Consider the following 20,566-nt stretch of genomic DNA (forward strand, 5'->3'; position numbering starts at 1 on the left):
GAGACCTGGTCTTAACAAAAAAGAAGACATGTGGCTGGCCGCAGTGGCTCACGCCTGTAACCCCAACATTGTGGGGGGACGAGGCTGGTGGATCCCTTCAGGTCAGGAGTTCGAGACCAGCCTGGCTAATGTGGCAAAACCCTGTCTCTACTAAAAAAAAAAAAAATACAAAAATTAGCTGGGTCTGGTGGTGCGTGCCTATAATCCCAGCTACTTGGGAGGCTGAGGCATGAGAATCACTTGAACCCAGGAGGTTGAGGCTGCAGTGAGTCAAGACTGCACTCCAGCCTGGGTGACAGGGCAAAACTGTCTCAAAAAAAAAGAAGACATGTGGGCAAGAATGTTTGTGGTGGTGATTTTCCTAATTACCCAAACCTAGAAATGCCTCAGGTGCCCATCATTAGCAGGCTGGATAAAGACGTAGTGGTGCAGTCATAGAATAGAACATTTCACCACGATGGGAAAGAATGGCCCACTCAACAATATGAGTGCATCCGAGATTGGTAAAGTTAAGCAAGGCAGGCTGAATGAGAACTGGCCTCAAATTCAAACCTAATCTAAAAGGAATCACCTTTGAAGTCTTTTTACGTCTTAGCAAGCTTCTGAAGAAAACATTGTGCATTCCCAAAGATAAACTTCAAAACATGAGAAAACCCAATCTTTATTGCTTAGGAGTTTATATGTGGGTGGTAAAACTTAAAAGGAAACCCAAGTGATTATTTCAAAATGAGGATGGTGGTGACTTCTTGGGGGTGGATGAGAGAGTGACAAGGGGCTGGCTGGCCGGGTAGGGGAAGGCAAGGTCTTCTCGTGTTCTGAGTGTTGGTCACACACCCACACACCAGAGCTCACTTCAGGATCATTTTTCAACAGTACCTTGATGTTTTGCACGCCTTTCTGCATGGGTGTTATATTTCACAATCAAAGAAGACAATGATTAACATTAGAAAGGAAGAGATTCAGACATTGCTTTCCTCTGGGACACATCAAGTTCCAAGTGGCCTCACAACAACCAAAGGGGAGTGACAGCACTTTTTAAAAACTTTCTTACCATAACTACCCCTGACAGGCTGTGTGTTCTCTCCACAAATTGATTGCAGTCCAATGAAAGAACTCTGCCTGCCTTGGAATTGTATCATTAAGAGGTAACTCTGAGAGCAAATATCTCCTTGTAGAGATTAGAAACAGGAATCAGAAACAAAGGGGATGGGTTGTCAAGTGACAGGTTTAAACACAAAGGGCGCCTCACTGCTGCTGTGCTGGGGCATGCTTGCTCTGTCTGATTAGCCCAGCAGGGATCACTGCATATTCCAGAAACCCTCTGAGATACAACCACCATGGCCCGCATCATATAGAAAGGCAAGCAAAGCAGTCAGAGGCGGGGCGACTTGCCCCAGCGTCACATCATGAGAAGTGACCCAGCCCAGAGTCTAACCAAGGTCTTCCTGACTTCAGACTGGCTCTTCTGACTCCAGGTCCTCTCCCGCTCAGATCCCTGCCAGGCTCCCCACCTACCTTTTTCCATCTTGATTGAAGCTCATCATATGGGTTTTGTTGAAGGGGCAAGTGAAGACATATTGAACAGGACCATAATCTGTCACTGTCACCCTGACACCATTGTGACTATCCTTGTGGTCCAAAAGCTCGAAATAAGCCATCTGAGGCCAAATGGCTGAAGTTTCTGAAAATATCTTTTGTGGACTTTGGAAGAAGAGGACAAATTCTAGAACAAGCGACTTTTGGGAAAAATGAATCCTGAGGCAGAAATGTCATTATAATCCAGCAGCAAGAAAATGGAGCAGAGCTGAGTTGCTGTGAGGGGTTCTTGCCTGTTTTTGTGTGTGTGAACTGCCAAGCTCCCTGAATCAGAGTCCACACATCCTTCCATCAACTGACTGCCTAAGGTGCTGAGGGTAAAATGAACAATATTTCTCTTGTCCTTGGAAAAATTTTAGTCTCATGAAGAATCTTTTTTTTTTTTTTTTAATTTTTTTGCCCTTGACTTTCTTAGCGTAAAGACTAATGTTACTTGCATGCAAAGTAATCTCACGTTGAACCTTTGGAATGAGCTTTATTAAAAGTCTCCATTATGGAATACTTTTAAAGAAACAGAATTTTGTTATTTTTCACTTGAAGTTGGACTCTTAGGAACACAACTGAATGAGGTTTCTAGAGCAGTACTTCAAAGTTCAGGCTGGCCTGGGTTTGAATTCTGGCTCTCCAGTTTGGGAGCTGTGTGACCCCAGTACAAATTACTGAACCTCTCTGTCCCTGACTTTCTGCCTTGTAAAATTAGGATAATGAAAGTGCTTATCTCACGAGTATCATCGCTAAATGCATTAAGACAGGGAAAACACAGAGAAAAGAAGGCGTGCCTGGTATGTGTTCAGTGCCCTCTAAATCAGTGGTCAGCAAACTATAATCTGCAGACCAAATCCAGCCCACTGCTTGCTTTTGTAAATAAAGTTTCATTGGAACACAGCTGCACTCACTTGTTTACATATCATCTATGGCTACTTTTGCACAACAATGGCAAACTTGAGTAGCCGTGACAGACGCACTGGCCTGCACCACCTTATGTGTTTAATCTCTGGCCCTTTAAAGAAAAAGTTTGTCAATCCTACCTCATCTAAACGGTAGCTATTGTAGTAGCTCTACTAATAGTGTTGCCTGCACCCAGTAATTTGTTTATGTTGGGGCAATGTAAATACTCACTCAGGTCATTACTTACCATTTGCTAGGCTTTACAGAGATAGGTTTCAGTTTTCATTTTGCCAAGATCATCACATGTTTCAACTGAATTAATGAGGGTTCTGTTTTAATGTTTAACTTAAAGAAATCCTCCAAATTATTTTCTCCCTTTTGAACAGGAAAACCAATGCTGTATTATCTATAGCTCACTGATAATTTTGAACATCTCAACATGCAACAAAGTTTCCCGTTTGAAGTTTGTGTTTCCAGCATTTAATTACATGGAACTTTCCTGAAATGTGCTATAAATATGCAGCACCCTGATCTTGGCTAATTGGCTCACATCTATTAAGGATCCAGGAAGGACTGATGCTTATCAGAACACGTTTGATCTCAAAATCTTCTAGAAACAGGCACACTTAAGCCATTTCCACCATTTCCTGGATTTCAGTGCATCAGAACCACCACCATAGATGTGAGCTATTTCCACTTCTTTTCTTAGCCAGGAAATGGGATGCTGTGCGACTTCTATTTTATCACTAATAGTATTGTTAACAATAATGTTAAGACGTAAAAAGACTTCAAAAGTGATTCCTTTTAGATTAGGTTTGAATTTGAGGCCAGTTCTCATTCAGCCTGCCTTGTTTGTCAATATTTTATCGTTTGAACAGGATTATGGGAACCCAGGGAAATGCCGTTTTCCTGCTTGTTTCAGTGGGATGTGAAGAGCAAAGAGAGCTCTTAAAAAAATACCTCCATTTGCCTACTGCAAAAGTGCCTGCTAAAGTGCTTGGGACTACCGTGTGTGATTTTCTTAACCTGCTCGCCTGCTCTATGTATGTCACCTCGGTATAGGAGAGACAGACACTATTGCGTAGTGGGTTTGAAATCCAGTTCTGCCTTTGACTAGTCGTACAACCTGAACAAACCACTTCACCTCTTTGTGGCTCAGTTTTCTCAACTGCATCGTGAGGTAATACTAATACCAGTCTTGCTGGTTTATCCTGAGGATTCAGTGACTTACTGTACATAACTGTGCCTGGCATGTGGTAAGCACTCAGTGATAGCTGTCACCACTGCCACCAACCCCCACTGCCCATCATCATCATTATTGTTACTTGTGGACTTGAATATGGAAACCACGTGATGACAGGAAATGACTGCAGAGTTCTGGGTACTGCCACCATCACTGCCCATGTAGTAAAATGGAATGCATGTTGCTCAACTTAATTCGTCCATACAAAAATAAAATGAAATGATGAAGATGATGATGATGATGATGATGATGACGAAGATGATTTGGGTAGCCAGTTTCTTTTGAGATCAGGGGAAAGGGTAGTGGACAAAGAACCAGGAAGTGGGTGAAAGGAAGAAGCAGCAGCCTCTCTGCTTCTGCAACTGTTAACCTCTGTCTGTGCACCTAACCCTACCTGGATGTTCTATAAATACAATCTTATTGAATCCCATCAGCAACACGTTGAGGTAAGAATTCTTAATCCCATTTTATAAATAGGTAAAGTGAGGTTTTAGAGAGATGAGCGAATGTATCCCAGCCATGCAGTGGAACAGTGATTTGAACCCAGTTGTATTGGACTCTGAATCACATTTCTTTGTGCTCTGCTGGGCCAGCTTCTAAGTCCCAGCATCGACTAACTTTCTGATAACTGTCAAAAGCACTTAACTCTTGTATATCTTGGTTTTCCTTTGTGAATTAGGTCATTGACTGAGCATCAAAAGGAAGCTAAAAGAATGTACACGTCGTGTCAGTTATGGCCACCAGAACCCTGTAGGGGAGAAAGGCAATCAATGAAACTGTTCAGTGATAATATTGGGTTTTTGTCACTGTATGACTCTATATAATTTAAATGTCATGTTCATTTCCTTAATTGTTGACAAGACTGCTATCTTTATGTGCTTTCTCTTTGGAAATATTAATGTCAACATACATTTCATTTAAACATCAACCCTTAAATCAAAATGCCATCCTTGGTCAGCTGAAACCTCTAATAAAGTTGGAGGAGGCTAGATGTCTTAGATGTCTTTGAACCCTGTGGGGTGGCTATTCATGACCTTGGATTGCTCTTCTCCAGGTGCTTCAAGACAGGGATCTGATTAATAAGGTGGACTGTCTCCCTCCCAGGCCACCTGCTTCAGACCCCACAGCACTAGTTATTCATGCCATAGTATGGGCCCCGGGATTTTCTCTGGACTGTGCCTGTAAGGAAGGCCATGAGGCATGCATTTAATCCTCTGCCTGCTGATGGAGAGTGTTTCACAGGCAAAAGTAAATTCCATACCTCCATCACTGCATGGAGTTGGCCCTATTCATGCTCATATGTATTGCCTGTTGCTTTTAAAAAAAAAAAAAAATACGCCGCCCTCATATAGGAGTGCAGGGGTTGGCAAAATTTCTCTGTAAGGTGACTGATAGCAAATATTTTAAGCTCTGTCAGCCATATATTCTCTGTTGCAACTACTCAACTCTGCAGTGGTAGCCTGAAAGCATCCGTAGACAATGCATAAACAAATGAGCTGTGTACCAACAGAACTTCATTTACAAAAGTAGGCACTAGGCCAGATTTGGCCCATGTACCATAGTTTGCCCACTTTTGACTTAGAGATATGTCGTGAGTTAGTTTGGTCAATTTCTTTTAGCCATGTATGAAAGACCTACTTTATAAAGTGCTACGTTGGGTGCTGGGGATAAGGTCAGGAGGCATGGTCTTGCTGTAACAGAGCCTACAACCTGTCAAAGAGACCATGTTAGCCAATTACGCAGACTGAAACCCAGGTCTTAACAACCTATGACCTTGGGTAAGTTCTCAGCCCTCACTAGGATGTTGATTCCTACTTCATAGGGTTATGAAGCTTCACTTAGAGAAAGGCCACAGCAGGGCCTGGCACCCAGTTTCTGAACCGTAAGTGTGAACTGGGAAAAGGAGGCAAACTGAAGCAAATCCCACAGTGTGGAATGGAGTCTTGGGGTGCAGGTCAGTGAAGGGTAAACTGAGGCTAGAGAACCCAGTCACTGTAAACAGATGAGAGTCAATGCTGCTGCTGCCTGGCCCTATGCACATCCTTTACTGTGGTCACATAAAACAACAAGCTCTAGACCTGGCTTCTACTAGACTCAGAAAGTTGACGGGGCCCTTTGCTGTGAGTCCTACTGAATAATGTCAGTATCTTAGTTAATCAATTCTGCGACTCTCATGTCTTCATATTTTAGCAACTCTAAAATTGGGATGCATCTTTGAGTTCATATCAAGTCATTGTTTAATTAGCAACATGTTTCCTTTATTAGTGGTATTGGAATAATGATGCATCTCACGATTGATGTTGACTTGGAGATGAGGAAAACAGTATCTGGGACTTGTTTGTTATTTAAAATATACCAATAGCTACTGTGCTTGTTTGTTTCTTCATTCTCTTTTCACATAATTATTAGGCACCTACTGTGTTCTGGGGAAGTGTTTTAGCTGCTGGATATATGTACAGGCAAGGTCTTCGCTCTTGTGGAATAATCAAGCTGTTGTGGCAGACAGTAAACAAAGGAATGCTGGAAAGGAAATGAAGGTGTGATGCAGAAAGTTAATAACAAGCTGGGCGTGGTGGCTCACGCCTGTAATCCTAACACTTTGGGAGGCTGAGCCAGGCGGCAGGAGTTCAAGACCAGCCTGGCTAACATGGTGAAACCCCGTCTCTACTAAAAATACAAAAAAATTAGCCAGGCATGGTGGTGCACGCCTGTAGTTCAAGCTACTCGGGAGGCTGAGGCAAGATAATCACTTCAACCCGGGAGGTGGAGGTTGCAGTGAGCCGAGATCGTGCCACTGCACTCCAGCCTGGGTGACAGAACAAGACTCTATCTCAAAAATAAATAAATAACAGAGAAAACATACTGAGATGGGGGGCTCAGGCGGTGACATTTGAGCTCAGACATGAAGGATGAAAAGGCATCATCTCTATGGAGGGTGGTGGGAGGGGAAGCATTCCAGGCAGAGGGAACAGCAAGGTGAGGAGGCAGGTAGGTGGTCAGCAAGGGAGAGAGAGGAAAATACAGGCTGCAGTGGTAGACAGGTCATGTCGGGCCCCATGGCCACCATAAGGAGTCTGGATTTTATTCTAAATGAACCAAGAAGCCACTGGAAGATTTTAAGCTGGCCAGTGTCAGGATTAGTTTTACATTTAAAAAGCTAAAAGAGGCTGGGCGTGGGTGCCCACGACTATAATCCTAGCACTTTGGGAGGCCGAGGCAGACAGATTGCCTGAGGTGACTCAGGAGTTTGAGACCAGCCTGGGCAACATGGTGAAACCCTGTCTCTACTAAAAATACAAAAAATTAGTTGGGCGTGGTGGCGTGCCTGTAGTCCCAGCTACTCGGGAGGCTGAGGCAGACGATCACTTGAACTCAGAAGGTGGAGGTGGCAGTGAGCTGAGGTCACGCCACTGCACTGCAGCCTGGGGGACAGAGCGAGACTCCGTCTCCACAAAATAAATAAATAAATAAATAAATAGCTAAAATAGTTGCCTAGTCTTCAGTGAGATTTCCTCACCTGATCCTGCAGATGAGGACCCCAGAGCCCAGGGATCCAGAATGAGGGTGGTAGAAAGATGGGCATAAGGAGAGCTAGATCCCTTCCCATGTCACACACAGTGCAGTTGTGGTCCAGCCTCTTTCCTTGTAAACCTTGTTTTCCTCTCATATATAAGACAAAAAACTAGTGTCTTTGAGACCTCGATTTCCCCATCACCCAATCATAACTTCAGTCTTGTGCCTGTTCCTTAAAATCATTTACTGTGAAGCCTTGCAGATGGCCCTACTTTGCAAACAGGACAGCCCCATTCCCATGCTGTCATTCCCATTACATCCTACTTATTAATGACAGAACGATGACATGCTTTGAGAATCAACACCCTGCTATAGAGAGCAAGTATTTTTGTTTGTATTTGGATCATAAAATTAACTCCCTCTGGGGTCCCCCTAGGGAGGCCTCTTTTTTTTTTTTTTTTCCCTCAAGGCAAGAGTCTCACTCTGTCACCAGGCTGGAGTGCAGTGGCGCGATCTTGGCTCACTGCAACCTCCACCTTCCCAGTTCAAGCGATTTTCCTGCCCCAGCCTCCCAACAAGCTGGGACTACAGGCACACGCCACCATACCTGGCTAATTTTTGTATCTTTAGATGTGGTTTCGCCAAGTTGGCCAGGTGGTTTCAAACTCCTGACCTCAGGTGACCCACCCACCTTGGCCTCCCCCAAAGTACTGGGAATACAGGCATGAGCCACTGCGCCCGGCCATCTTCGTTCTAATCTAATACTTTCCCACCTCCCTGCTGCCTTCTGGATTCTCACCCTCAGCCTCTTTCTTTCCTCCCAACTTGCCGTTTCTCACCCCTGTGTTTGGCAGGCCCTCCTGTTGCCCACTGTCACACCCACCTAAGACTCCTCCCAGGTTACACACTACATTCATGGCCGGTCTAGACTTAACCCAGAGCTGCTGACTCCATGTCTAGTGTTTTACTCAGTTGTGTCACCTCTTCATAATTCTGAGCGGGATTATCAATTGTACTTACCCAAAAGCTGATTTTTTCCCCCCCTCAATCCTGGGAAGTTTTGGACAGTTGATCTTTTCCTTCTGTTTTCCCTCCTGCTTACTTCACTCCAACCATTTCTCTTTAAACCAGGCAGAGTCCCTCTGCACTGGCTTTTCTCCCTTCCTGGAGTGTTCTTCTCCCCATGTAGCCATGTAGCTCAGTTCCTCACTGCCTTCAGGCTTTCAATCAAATGTTTCCTTCTCAGTGATCCTGCCCTTGAAATTGCTGTTTGCAAAACAGTGGTCAGGATAGGCCTCATTTAGAAACGGTGATTCAAATATGACTAAGTTTGCTAACAGCTGCAGAACATTTGGTCCCAAAGCAGCCGTGAATGGAGTAATGAAGAAATGTTCTGGACAGAGTGAAGAGCCAGTGCAAAGGCCCTGGGGGCAGTGTGTTCATGGGACAGCAAAGAGGCCAGTGTAGCTATACCTAAAAATCAGAAAGTGGAAGTGAATGAGGCTGCACAGGATGTAGGAACCCTTTGATACAGTCCCTGTAGAAAGTGGCTAGTCAGATATGGTCCTGAGACCAGCAGCATCCATTTTATTAAAAACGCAGAATCTCAGCTCTCATCCCAGACCTACTGGATCAGAATCTGCATTTTAACAAGCTTCCCAGATGATTTGCCTGCACATTGAAGTTTAAGTGGCGCTGTCATAAATCATCTTCCATTTCTAATGACTTAATGCCCAATTCTTTCCACTATCCACTCCTTCCTTCCCTCCTTGCATAACACCAGGCAGAGGCTAGCCCTGCCCCAGTGATCTTAGGCATTTAAGGAAAAGTTAATTGCTTTTCCTCTAAAAAAAAAAGTTGTGGGAAACCCTGAAGAAACCAAATAATCATTGGGCTAAAAACAGAAGCTTGGGCTTTCATACACTTTCCTAAAATTAATTGGTCCTTTGTTTAGGGAATGCCTCAGGTTTTCTTCCCCTAGAAACTACCACATCCTGTCCAAATAACCTTCCAATCTTCCAATGTAATACATTGTTTATTGGGGTGTGGGAGTGGGTGTTCAGTGCACTTCCACAATTCCTGATTACTGCACAGGTCTCTTCTATACATTGACTGTTCATCGTATTTTATAAAGAGCTTTCTTTTTTTCCTATATAACCAAAGCATTGAAAATATTAGGCTATTAACATACCAAGAAATGCAATCAATCAGCTGATTATCATCTAATGTTTTAATGATCACATTTTTAATCCAATTATCCATGTTTGAATCTTTCAGATTTTCTTTAATTAAAAATTGCCTCCTTGCACTGCTATCAGAAGTAAGAAATTGAACAGAATCAGCCAGATATAATTTAATGTTGAAAGGAAACTGCAAGGATAACTGGGCCGCGCTGGGCTTAATGGTTGACCATGACTTGAAAGCCCTTATACAAAATTTCCTAATTGATAAGAAAAATTTAATCATCTTCAGATATAAACCCTTTGCATTCAAATAAGGTATTTCTTTTTCCAAATAAATCTCCCCTAACTGGTTATTCATATTGTCATTCAAAATGCTTAAAAATGAAAGAAAGCGTTGGGTGAAATGTAGACTACTTAATACAGTGTGTATTTAATATAAAAGTCATACATTATTCATTTTTGCAATTTGAATAACTTTGAATTTAGCATCGCTGTTCCTCATCTTTTTCTTTGATGAACAATTAATTATTAAAATATAATATTGTCTGCATACAGCACCCGGGATCCTTGAAGGTGGAATACGAGATGCATTTCTTTTCAATTCTTTTATCTAGTAATGCACAGTACCTGCTTATTATGGTATAATGGAATGAATGGTGGTATAAATAGTTTTTCAAATATTTTTCTCAACTAGTAAGTGGCTGGGACAGGAATGTTTTGAATTCAAATGACTAATTATGATAAAAGTTGGAGGCAGAATGCACTGATCAGGATGGGCATGGAGTCACACTGCCCTTTTATAGCAAGACTTATTTAACAAGCACTATGCATGCTTACTGTGTCAAGCGCTCTCCTAAGCTCTCACCTGATGTTAACTCATTTGAGTCATACTCAGAACCTCCTTGTAATGTCAGTGTTATTATCCCATTTTACAGATGAGGAAACACTTACACAAAGGTTAAATAACCCTTCTCAAGTCAAACCTTTAAGTAGAATAGTTAGGATTCATATCCAGGGGACCTAGCTCTAGCACTTCTCCCCATTTTATAATATCTACATTTATTAAGATTTTATTAGCCAGGCATATGGGCTCACAGCTGTAATTGCAGCACTTTGGGAGGCTGGGGCTGGAGGATTGCTTGAGGCCAGAAGTTTGGGACCAGCTTGGGCAACACAGCAAGACCTCATGTCTACTAATTTTTTTTTTTTTTTAATTAGGCAGGCATGGTGATACAAGCCTATAGTCCTAGCTACTCAGGAAGCTGAGAGGGGAGGATTGCTTGAGCCCAGGAGTTCAAGGTTGCGGTGCCACCACAGCCTAGTCAACAGAGTGAGAATCTGTCTCTAATTTATACAAACAAAAAAAAGATTTTATAAATGGAAGAGTTTACGTTTTCAGCTGAAAAGTGCTTTATTTCTTCCTCCCAGTGGCTATACTCAGGAACCACCAGTCTTGAGTCTGGCCAGTTGAGCCCCTATGGCTTAAGCTGGCATCAGTGGACAGTACTAGAAATGTAGAGCTACCATTTCTAAAATTGTTTCTAATTTGTAATTAAGCATTGCAAGCACCCCATTTATCAGTAGAGCACTGTCAGTGGGACTGAGCAGGCAATGAAATTTTCAGAAAGATCACTGCAAACTGCTCTTCGACTTGAACTGAGATGGGGGAAAAAGTCGAGAGTTAATTCTGTAATGTATTGCTCGTGTTAATTCTGTAATGCATTGTCATTTACTAATGGGGGCACCTGAACATATAGCATAATTCCCCCCACCCCACAGGTCTGGCTATGGCTGTCAAGGTGACTTTCTGATACTTGGGATTCCTTTCCCACTTCCCACCCCCAACACTTGTGTTAAAATAGGGGCAGGCAGAATATGACCGAAGGCCAAATCCATTCTACTGTCTATTTTTGTATGGCCCCTGGGCTAAGAATGGTTTTTACATTTAATTCCTAATTAAGTGAAATGTTATTCCCCCAAAAAAGAATCATATTATTCTCATTAAGTAGATATATATTTTGAAAATTGTTCTCAGTTATTAATAGCATTTCAAATACAGTTAATAAGATTGTGAAAGTGTGCTTGTTATTTAAGTACCTACATAACATCTTCAAATTCACCTCTTGGCCTGCAAAGCCTAAAATATTTACTCTTTGGTACTTTATAGAAAACGGTTGCTCGTTCCTAGCTTAAAACCCAAAATGAGCCAGCCTGTACCTCATCTGGGCTTGTGGTCAGCCACATGCTTGCCTTGATAAATCTGGGCTTACACTGGGCCAGGAACTATACCAAGCCCCTTATGTCTGTTAACTTGCTTAATTGTCACAGCAACCCTGAGAGTAAATATTCTCATTATTCTCATTTTACAGATGATGGAAGTAGCTCAGAGAGGTTAAGGCCTAGGCCTAAGGTTGCACAGCCATCAAATGTCAGTTAATTCGAAGCCCATACTGGAGCTTTGGCAAAGAAAGCTTTAACCTAGACTGCTCATGCTGATGGACAATATATCTAACATGGTATGCCTTTAAGGGCACAAGGAGTAATCCAGTTAAAAAAAAAACAAAAAGACATGCACAAAACATTAAAGAAAGTACATGACAGAACATTGGTAGCTTAGAGGAATAATAGTAAAAGTAACAACAATGAGAGTAAGAATAATATCTATCACGTATGAGATGTTTACTGTGTTCCCAGCTCTTTCTGAACCTCTTTCTTTTATTGACTTATTTATAATCTTCACTACTGCAGCCTAGGAAGGTTTCGTAACTTGCCTATGCTCACACAGCTCACAGATAGCGGAGCTGGTATTTGAACCTGGGCAGGCTGAAAATCTGTTCTCCAGCAGCAACCCTTGAAGGAACTCACAAGTGCTGGGGGTGCTGGTGCAGGCAGTGGTTAGATGTCAGTTTTCAGCCCTGAATGATGTTTTCTGCTCTCCAGGCATACTGTTTCAGATTCCCTGAAGAAAGAATCCCATGTGAGTCTCTGTATTCTTCACATGTTTTTGACCTTAGGTCTTTTACTTCATCCTGGTCTTCTATTTATCCAGCCCTAAAGTCAAAGAATTGGACTAAATCGATGGTTTTCAAAATGTCCCTGGATCCCCTACTCGGCTTCAGCCACCAGGGCTGACTTAACTTATTTGAGTTGCTGGGGTCTTGAGCAAGATTTTGTTTGAAGAGACCATCCTTTGGCCTCCAAAGCCACTGAACTAAGCCACTGAACTGTCCAAGTCCCTTCCAGATCACAAAGTCCTAAGATTCAATGGCAGTGATAGTGGTGGAATGAATAAGCAGTGAAGCCAGGCCCTCCTCCCCTGTCCCTTGTACTGGGTCTACCCACCTCGCCACCGATCTGACTGCACGTGCTGATCAGCAAAAACCAGAGCTTGCCTCTGAAGCCCTGGTGTTGGTCAAGAACAGAGATGCCCTTTTGAGTTTGCAGCAGGGGTCACACGCACTTTCCATCATGCCTGCTTAATCCATGAGCCCATCTGAGAACTTACATAAGAGTCCGACCCTGCCCAATCAGCGTTCCCCTTTGAAATCTAATCTCCTCCTGTTGGTGGGGCAGGTGCTTTTGCTTTATCTTTTGATGCTCTTTAAAGCCATGGCCTCTTCCTATAGTGTGTTTAGATGGGGGCTCGGCTGCCAGGGGTTTGCCGGGGTTGTCTTGTCACTTCCTGTCAGCATACAGCATGCTTAACTGCAACCCTAATGTTGGACTCGGCTCTGAGGGGAAAACTCTTCTGATTCTCTAGCCATTCGGCCTGGATCCCTTGATCCTAAGGCAGGTTGGTGTGCTGCAGTGTGACTCGAAGTTCACCTACAACATGAGGGAGACATGAAGGTGGTAGTTTTGCAGTTGGTGGTGCCAAGCCCTACCCACACCCTCTATCGCTTGGGGCTTTGTGTTGACTCTTTACACAGCCCAGGAAGCTCAGAGGCAGCAAGCAAAGGCCAAAATATTTTCTTCTCCGGGCCAAACCAGTCCCCGCCAAGCATGCTTGCAGAGATTTCCCCTGTCATTAGGCTGCTGGTAACCAGGTTTAAATTAAAGCCCAGACTTGCCAGTGGGCGGAGGGGCAATTCCGTTATTTCTAGCCTTTTGTACAGCAGAAATTGTTTTTGTAATTTTGATTATAGAACCCTATGATTTGAAGACTTTTGCATTTATTGGGTAATACTAAATTTTTATTTTAGAAAAAGACGAATTGAACACCTCTCTGAGAATCAGCCAAGGTTTCTGAGCCTCACGAATAACTGCTGTTACTTCGCTGTTCACCAGTGCTTGGGCTTGGTTATTTAACCTCTCTGTTCCTTGATTTCCACATCTGTAAAATGAGTATTAGAAAGCACACACTTCATAGAGTTGTGAACTAAGAGAGCATAGTGATGTGAATAATAAAAGCCTGGATTCTAAACCCAGCTACCTGTTTCTGCATCCCGGCTCTGTAAACTGGGGATAATCATAGAACTAACTTCATGGAGTTATTTTAAGCATTAAATAAATTAATCTTTATAAAGCTCTTAGAACAGGGCCTCTTGCATATAATAAGTGCTGTTTAAGTGTTTGCAACCTGTAAATACTCAGAATAGTGCCTGGCATATAGGCGAAGCTAAATCAATGTTAAGTCTTCTTCAACTAATCTTTTCCAAAAGGAAATTGCAATTTTAATTATAATATAGTTGATTCTTGTTGGGTTTTTGCATTATCCCCTAGTTACACAGACTTCTCGAGTCTGGGGATGCACAGTTGCCCAAATTTCTGTACTAGTTGTTCTGCATGAAAATGAGAAGAGGAAGGAAGGAGGAGGTATGAGGCTTGGGAATGATATTCCTGTAGCCTCAGGTGTGTCTATGAGGTCACCTGGAACCCTGTTCCCGGGGCTGGTGGAAGCCATGAAGGAGCTAAGGGACCCCATGAGCAGGACTCCAGTAGTCTTATTGCATCTCCAACAGGGAAGGGGAGAGAATCCCAGATGTAAATTCAAGACTAGATGTCTGGAGATGTATGTAGAGACTAGAACCTTCTCTGACTCACGAAAGAAGCTAGATAGTTTACTGGGCATGCTTGGAAGAATTATAAGATATTTTCCTCATCTTCTCTACGACACTATTCCTTCCTGTCCCAGGGCCTTTGCTCATGCTGTTTCTACTGCTTACAATGTTTTTCTTTACCTTGTTTGCCCCCACCCTTGCATTTTCACCTGGCTAACCTCAGTGCCTTCTATGGCTGAGTCAGAGCTGTGTGGAGTCTTCGGTGTCAAGACACCTGGATTCACATCCTGGCTTTGCTTCTTAGGAGCTGTGTGACCTTGAGCAGACACTAACCCATTCCATGCCTTGCTTTCCTCATAGATTAATCATATTTTCATTGTTGGGTCTGAACTTAAATATCATTTCTTCTGTTTAAGGGAAGATACCGCCACATTTGTAAAAAGAATGCTGGTTCCTGGGGCCATTCTTTTTAAATTTCTAGTTGTGCCTTGGTTGGGCTTCACTTCGATTTGGAGAGGACTTGGGTGAAACCATAATGAAATGTAGCCAGCTTTGGAATTGCATGTTACTGGTGACTTACAGTTTTCTTTTCACAGTGATTCTCTCATTGTGTCCCAAAGTTTGTTCCACTGATTATCTATCTGTTCATAGATAATTAGAGAAGAGTTCTATGATGAAACAAGATTGGGAAGGGGTGGGTTAAACAAAGTCAAGCCCATTTCTTTTCTGCAAGACTTCTCAGAGATTTTGGTATGCTAGAATATTTTGTCTATTTCCTGGGGAAGGGAGAGGGACTTTAATGTGGCCCAACCATGTTCATCATGGAACCTGTATTTTATTGAAATATACTGTGGTACTGGTGTCCTCAGAACACACCCTGGGAAATGCTGCTTTGTTTACTGAGGCTCTCCCACCACCAAATGCTAGTGCTTCTCAGGATATAAACAAACATAAGGCTTGCGATGTGGCACCAGCATGCCGAGGGTGTTGACTGTGTCTGCGGCTCGGAATGGCATGACTTACCATTGTGCTTTTCTTTTCCCTTTTTCCCCAAACAGAGAAGGAGACCTTTCTGGATCCTTTCGTCCTCCGGGACCTCCTGCCTGCATCCCTGGGCAGCTATTATCGGTACACAGGTTCCTTGACCACACCACCGTGTAGCGAAATAGTGGAGTGGATAGTCTTCCGGAGACCCGTCCCCATCTCTTACCATCAGGTAGATATTCTTCCTCAAGTGGGGTTTCTGTGTTTACTTGTTTTGTATTGACTTAACGATCCAGCATGGCTAGAGTATACCACTAAGGAATTTGTTCTTGATCCTGTGCATATCATTGATTCCTGCAGTCTTTCCCACAAACATGTTTTTGAACCCAAGAACTGCAAGCGATAGAATGTGGTTTCTTAGCCGCAAATGAAATTAACTCACTAAAGAGAATTGCACTCATGAAATCTGAGTATTGTTTAAGTATTCAATCTTGAGGAGGTAATAATAGCTATCCTCAATGATGATGACCTTTTGTGCCAGAAACTCTTCTAAGCTCTTTATAAATGTTGACCCATTTCATCTTCATGAACAACACTCTTGTGAGGTAGATGCTATTTGTACCCCCATTCTACAGTCTTATGAGGAAGGTGCTGTGCATACCCCCATTTTATAGAGGAGATCAAGCCACACAGAAGGTTATTTGCCCACAATCACACAACTGGTAACCATGCCATGGTGTCTGATTCCAAAGAGCATGCTCTGACCACTAAGCCTACCCACAGTTCAGAAAAGAAAGAGATTTGTGGACATGGAGAAATGAAATAAAACATACCATTGATTGAGTTCTTTCTGTGTGCTATGTACTTTACTCAGCACTTTATACATATCAACTTAATCAGTGGCAACACAAACATAGAGAGATGGGTATTCACATAGAACATCATGGCGTGGAGAGATTGGGTAACATGCCCAAAGATTCATGGTTAATGAATGATGAAGCCAAAAACTAAGCCTGGGTTTGCCTGATTCCAAAACCCATGTTTCTGACCACTATATTGTACTGCTTCCTTCTGAGTGTGGACTGAGAACACTTCATGGGAAGGCATGATTTAGGCTGGGCAGTTAACTGTGGGTAGGAACTGATGAACTGGAGATAGAATTGAGGCAGTGTCAGAGGAAGGGGAACCATCCAGGCAGTGAGAGGTCTTTAAGTCACCTCATGAGGTTTGAATGCATGGTTGGGGATGATTCTTAGGAGGGACATGTTAGTTGTGCAAAATTCAGCATGGACTGAATTACAAAAAGTGTCAAATTTCTTCTGCATTATTCCCAAAAATAGAGCCAGGAACGATGGGTAGGATTTGTAAGAAAGTGGATTTGAGCCATTAACCAAGACTGTCCAAAACTGGAAGGTACTTAGGATGTCTTTCATAGAAATGACCACCTCCTCCAGTCTGATTGTTCTAGTACCAGTTGACCTTCTGGGTCTTATGTCAAGTATTCCAGTAGGTGGGTCTGAATAGACATTGGCCAACCAACTACTTGGCTGGCCTTGGGTCACATGTCCATCTTTGAATGAGCCATCAGAGGTGAATGAGCCATCAGAGGTGCCAGATAGCATCCTGAAACATCCAGTGTTACCTGTCAGTGGGTAAATGGGGCAGGTTCCCTAGAAGAAGGTAGGGGCAGTAGAGACACTATCCCCCTAACCAAGTTAGGTCATGTAAGGCCAGGCTGAACAAATTTATTTGGCCTCACTGCTGTTTTGGCAATCATTTTACTTTCAGATTTTTTTTTCCTTTTAATCTGACCCTGACAATAAAGAAAGGACTGGCGATTTGGTTTCAGAACAGGATCTGCCAGCCTTAAGGAGATAATGAAATAAGAAATGAGTTTTCTTCCTAATGGTGATGCCAACATTGTTTCATTAAAAAAAATAATAAAGTTACAGCCCAAATATTTATATAAACAGCGTTGGTGGAAGGAATTTTTTTTTCAAGATCCTTTTTTGTCAGTTAATAAATACTTTTGTCTTGAAAGATTGAAAGGTTTACGGCTCAGTGGCTCATGCCTATAATTTCAGCACTTTGGGAGGGTGAAGCAGGAAGAACCCTTGAGCCCAGGAATTTGAGACCAGCCTGGGCAACATGGCAAGACCCCAATCTCTGCAAAAAAAAAATTAAAAAATTATCCAGGCGTGGTGGCACATGTCTGTTGATCCCAGCTGCTTGGGAGGCTGAGGGGGGAGGATCACTTGAGTCTAGGAGGTCAAGGCTGCAGTGAACTGTGATCATGCCACTGCGCTCCAGTGTGGATGACAGAGTGAGACTGTCTCAAAAAAAAAAGAGAAAGATTTGAGATAATGAAGTTAAGGAATACTGATTTGGCTACTTTTCATATAGAATTCCATGTAAGGAGAGGCAGAGAGTCGTTGATTAGCTGGAGAGAAATAAGGACCATTAACATATGCTGGGTTTCATTATAGCTCCAGATTTGAAACAAAAAACAGTTTGGGGCTTGGATGTTTTGCCAAGTGTTTGTCTTTTAGAAGCATTTTGATCACCATTTTTGTAACTGGGGCTCTGAGAAAGTGCTTTTTAAATATCTCCTCACTATTCCACTCTCTGCCACCCATACGCTCAAAGAAGAAATAATGTAAGATTTGTATTTGCCTTCCAATATATAACTTCTCTCTAGGTATTGTATTTCAGGGAAATAGAAAAGAAATCAGTCATATTTGCTTTCCAGGTTCTTTGCTACAAACCGTCTTAAGATAATACTTTAGTTTTATCAGACACTGCTTCATGTGTCCCTCTCTCTCTCCCAAGGGAGGAAAACAGCTCATATTCATGTGGCCAAACTGGATCCTTGCTGGCTGGCTTTGTGGAGGTCACAGCTGTGTCAGCCCTTGGAAAGGAAAGCATTCGCCATCCAAGTATTATCGCTTCAGACCTTCCCACCCTGACCCTGCCAACATTCTTTCTGAAGTTAGCACAGAATGTTCATTTCAGAAAGGCGAACAGCCAATTCGGAAAAGCCAAGTAGTCAGGAATTCCATGTCTGCCTCTGACAGAAAGAAAACATTCCTAGTCTCTCGTTCTTCTACTTCTCTACAGTCTCTGTATTCTCTCTTTTCTTCCCTGTCATCCAGCATGGGTGCCTGCACTCAATGAAAATTTGAGCATATTCACCATGAAATATAACGGTTAGCACAAAGTGTTGACTTGTATGATGTGGATTTCTTTGAAGCCTTTCAGAGTACATACAGGCAAACAGTAATCTTTCTTCTCTTGTTCCCTTTTGTGAGTCTAGTTGGGCATTCAAGTCAGCCCTGCCAGCCTGTGCACTTGTACCTCTGGCTTGTGTGATAATCTAGATTAAAATACAGCATTGCTAATGGAACCGCACATTGGTTTGGGATTCCCCACTTAGTCAGCATGGCTTATGTGGCCCCTCTAAACATCTTCTGAAAATATCAGGCCAAAATCATGTCCCCCAAACAAAATGGGTCACCCCAACAAAATGGCAGCACTCTCGGCCCTTCTGTGGGATGTCAGAGGAGCCGGACAACACATGGAGATGGTTGCAGGCAACATATTCATGATCAGTCATAGAAGATGATTAGCTTTCAGTCCAGTTAACTAGGATTTGTTTTCTTCTAGAATAGTGCTTCTCAGATGATGGTTCTTTGCCCATAGGCAACTAACCCAACCCTTCCTTTCCAGGACTGTTTGCATCTTGTAGGTTAAAATAAGGCACTACCTATGATTTTCCCCAGCTTGAATTTTACTTAAGTGCTTGTAGGGGGTGCTATCAAAAAGGCAATAAATAAGTCTGACTGCATCTACTTTGTTTACCTTTAGATGTGTGATTTTTTTTTTTTTTTTTTTTTTTTCTGACAGTAAGCTGGAGTGGACAGAAAAGGTTTAATTGCATGACCCTTTTTAACCAAAGGTATCTGTGAGAAACAGTAGAGCAGCTCTTTGAAATTAAGACTGTGTGCTTTGGAGGCAAACTGCCTGGGTTCCATTTATGGCTTTGTTCTTCGGCCAAATTACTCAAGTACTCTACTATTTGGTGCCTCGGTTTTCTCCTCTGTAACATCATGATGATAATACTCCCCTCATGGAGTCACAATAAAGATTAAATGGTGGAATATGTATAAAATGCTTAGACTAGAATATGTATAAAGTGCACATCACAGGAAGTGCTTTGGAGATATTAGGCGTTGTTGTTGTTGTTGGTTTTGTTGTTGTTGCAGGTATTAAATGATCACCAGCCTTTAAAGCAGGACTGTCTGGTAGAAGTAAAATCACATCATTTAAAATGTTGTAGTAATCATGTTAAAAAATGTAAAGAGAAACAAGTGAGATTAATTTTAGTAGTATAATTTATTTAATCAAATGTATCCACAATATTATCACTGCAAATGTAGGGCTAGCCATATTTCTAATGGAATAGCCACGTGTGGCTACTGGCTGTCACAGCTGTAAGGTTTATCTCAAGGCCACGACAACTGGTGAGTCACTTAATTCAGAACGTTTCTATTTCAACACATGACGTGCAGTGCATGTGAATGAAGGAGGTTTTTTAATGATGGGGTGAAGATGCCATATTAATCCAAGAGAGATGGCTTTCTTTGTTAATTATGGTTAAGTCCTTTTCCTTCTATAAAGCCCTTTCTATAATCACCTTCATGCAAAACTGACTGTAGCCACAGGAGGGGCATGGCCCTGCATTTAGCTAGCTGTTCTTAGATTTTATGTTTGCAGCTGTGGTTCAGTAAGTAAAATTTCGGATGCTCCAGGCTACTGGGAATTTAATATTCCATTATCATTGTCTTGTTTAATAAGGAGGCAACAAACACGACCTGCCCTGTCATCCCTCAAATGTGTGGTGAAGCTAAAATAATCTCCATGACCTTAGGTGAGATTTTCCAGTTTCTAGTTAGTATCCTTGGGTTCCTTGCTGTGCTAATAATGGACCGTGGTTTTGTTTAATTGCCATTATATGCCCATCCCTTAAACTATTGTACATATCAGCCTTTTAATGGCTCATAATTATATTACTTTTGGTATTCTCTCATTTCTCCCTTTCATCCACAGTGGTGTCCTGCCCAAGTCTTGTGGACAGGAGCTCTCGCTACACACGAAGGGCA

The 20,566-nt window shown here is 42.4% G+C and overlaps 1 protein-coding gene across 7 annotated transcripts in view; it reads left to right on the top strand.

Moving 5' to 3' along the window:
* PTPRG (protein tyrosine phosphatase receptor type G) overlaps nt 1–20,566 on the top strand; it is a 736,039-nt gene that overhangs the window by 580,015 nt on the left and 135,458 nt on the right. For all 7 annotated transcript variants that reach the window (XM_017006961.2, XM_017006963.2, NM_002841.4 and 4 more), the window contains one exon: nt 15,482–15,639. In XM_017006961.2, coding sequence (XP_016862450.1) covers nt 15,482–15,639 — 158 coding nt within the window. The remainder of the gene's footprint in view (nt 1–15,481; nt 15,640–20,566) is intronic.

The sequence above is a fragment of the Homo sapiens genome, chromosome 3, assembly GCF_000001405.40.
Source record: "Homo sapiens chromosome 3, GRCh38.p14 Primary Assembly".
Taxonomy (NCBI): Eukaryota; Metazoa; Chordata; class Mammalia; order Primates; family Hominidae; genus Homo; species Homo sapiens.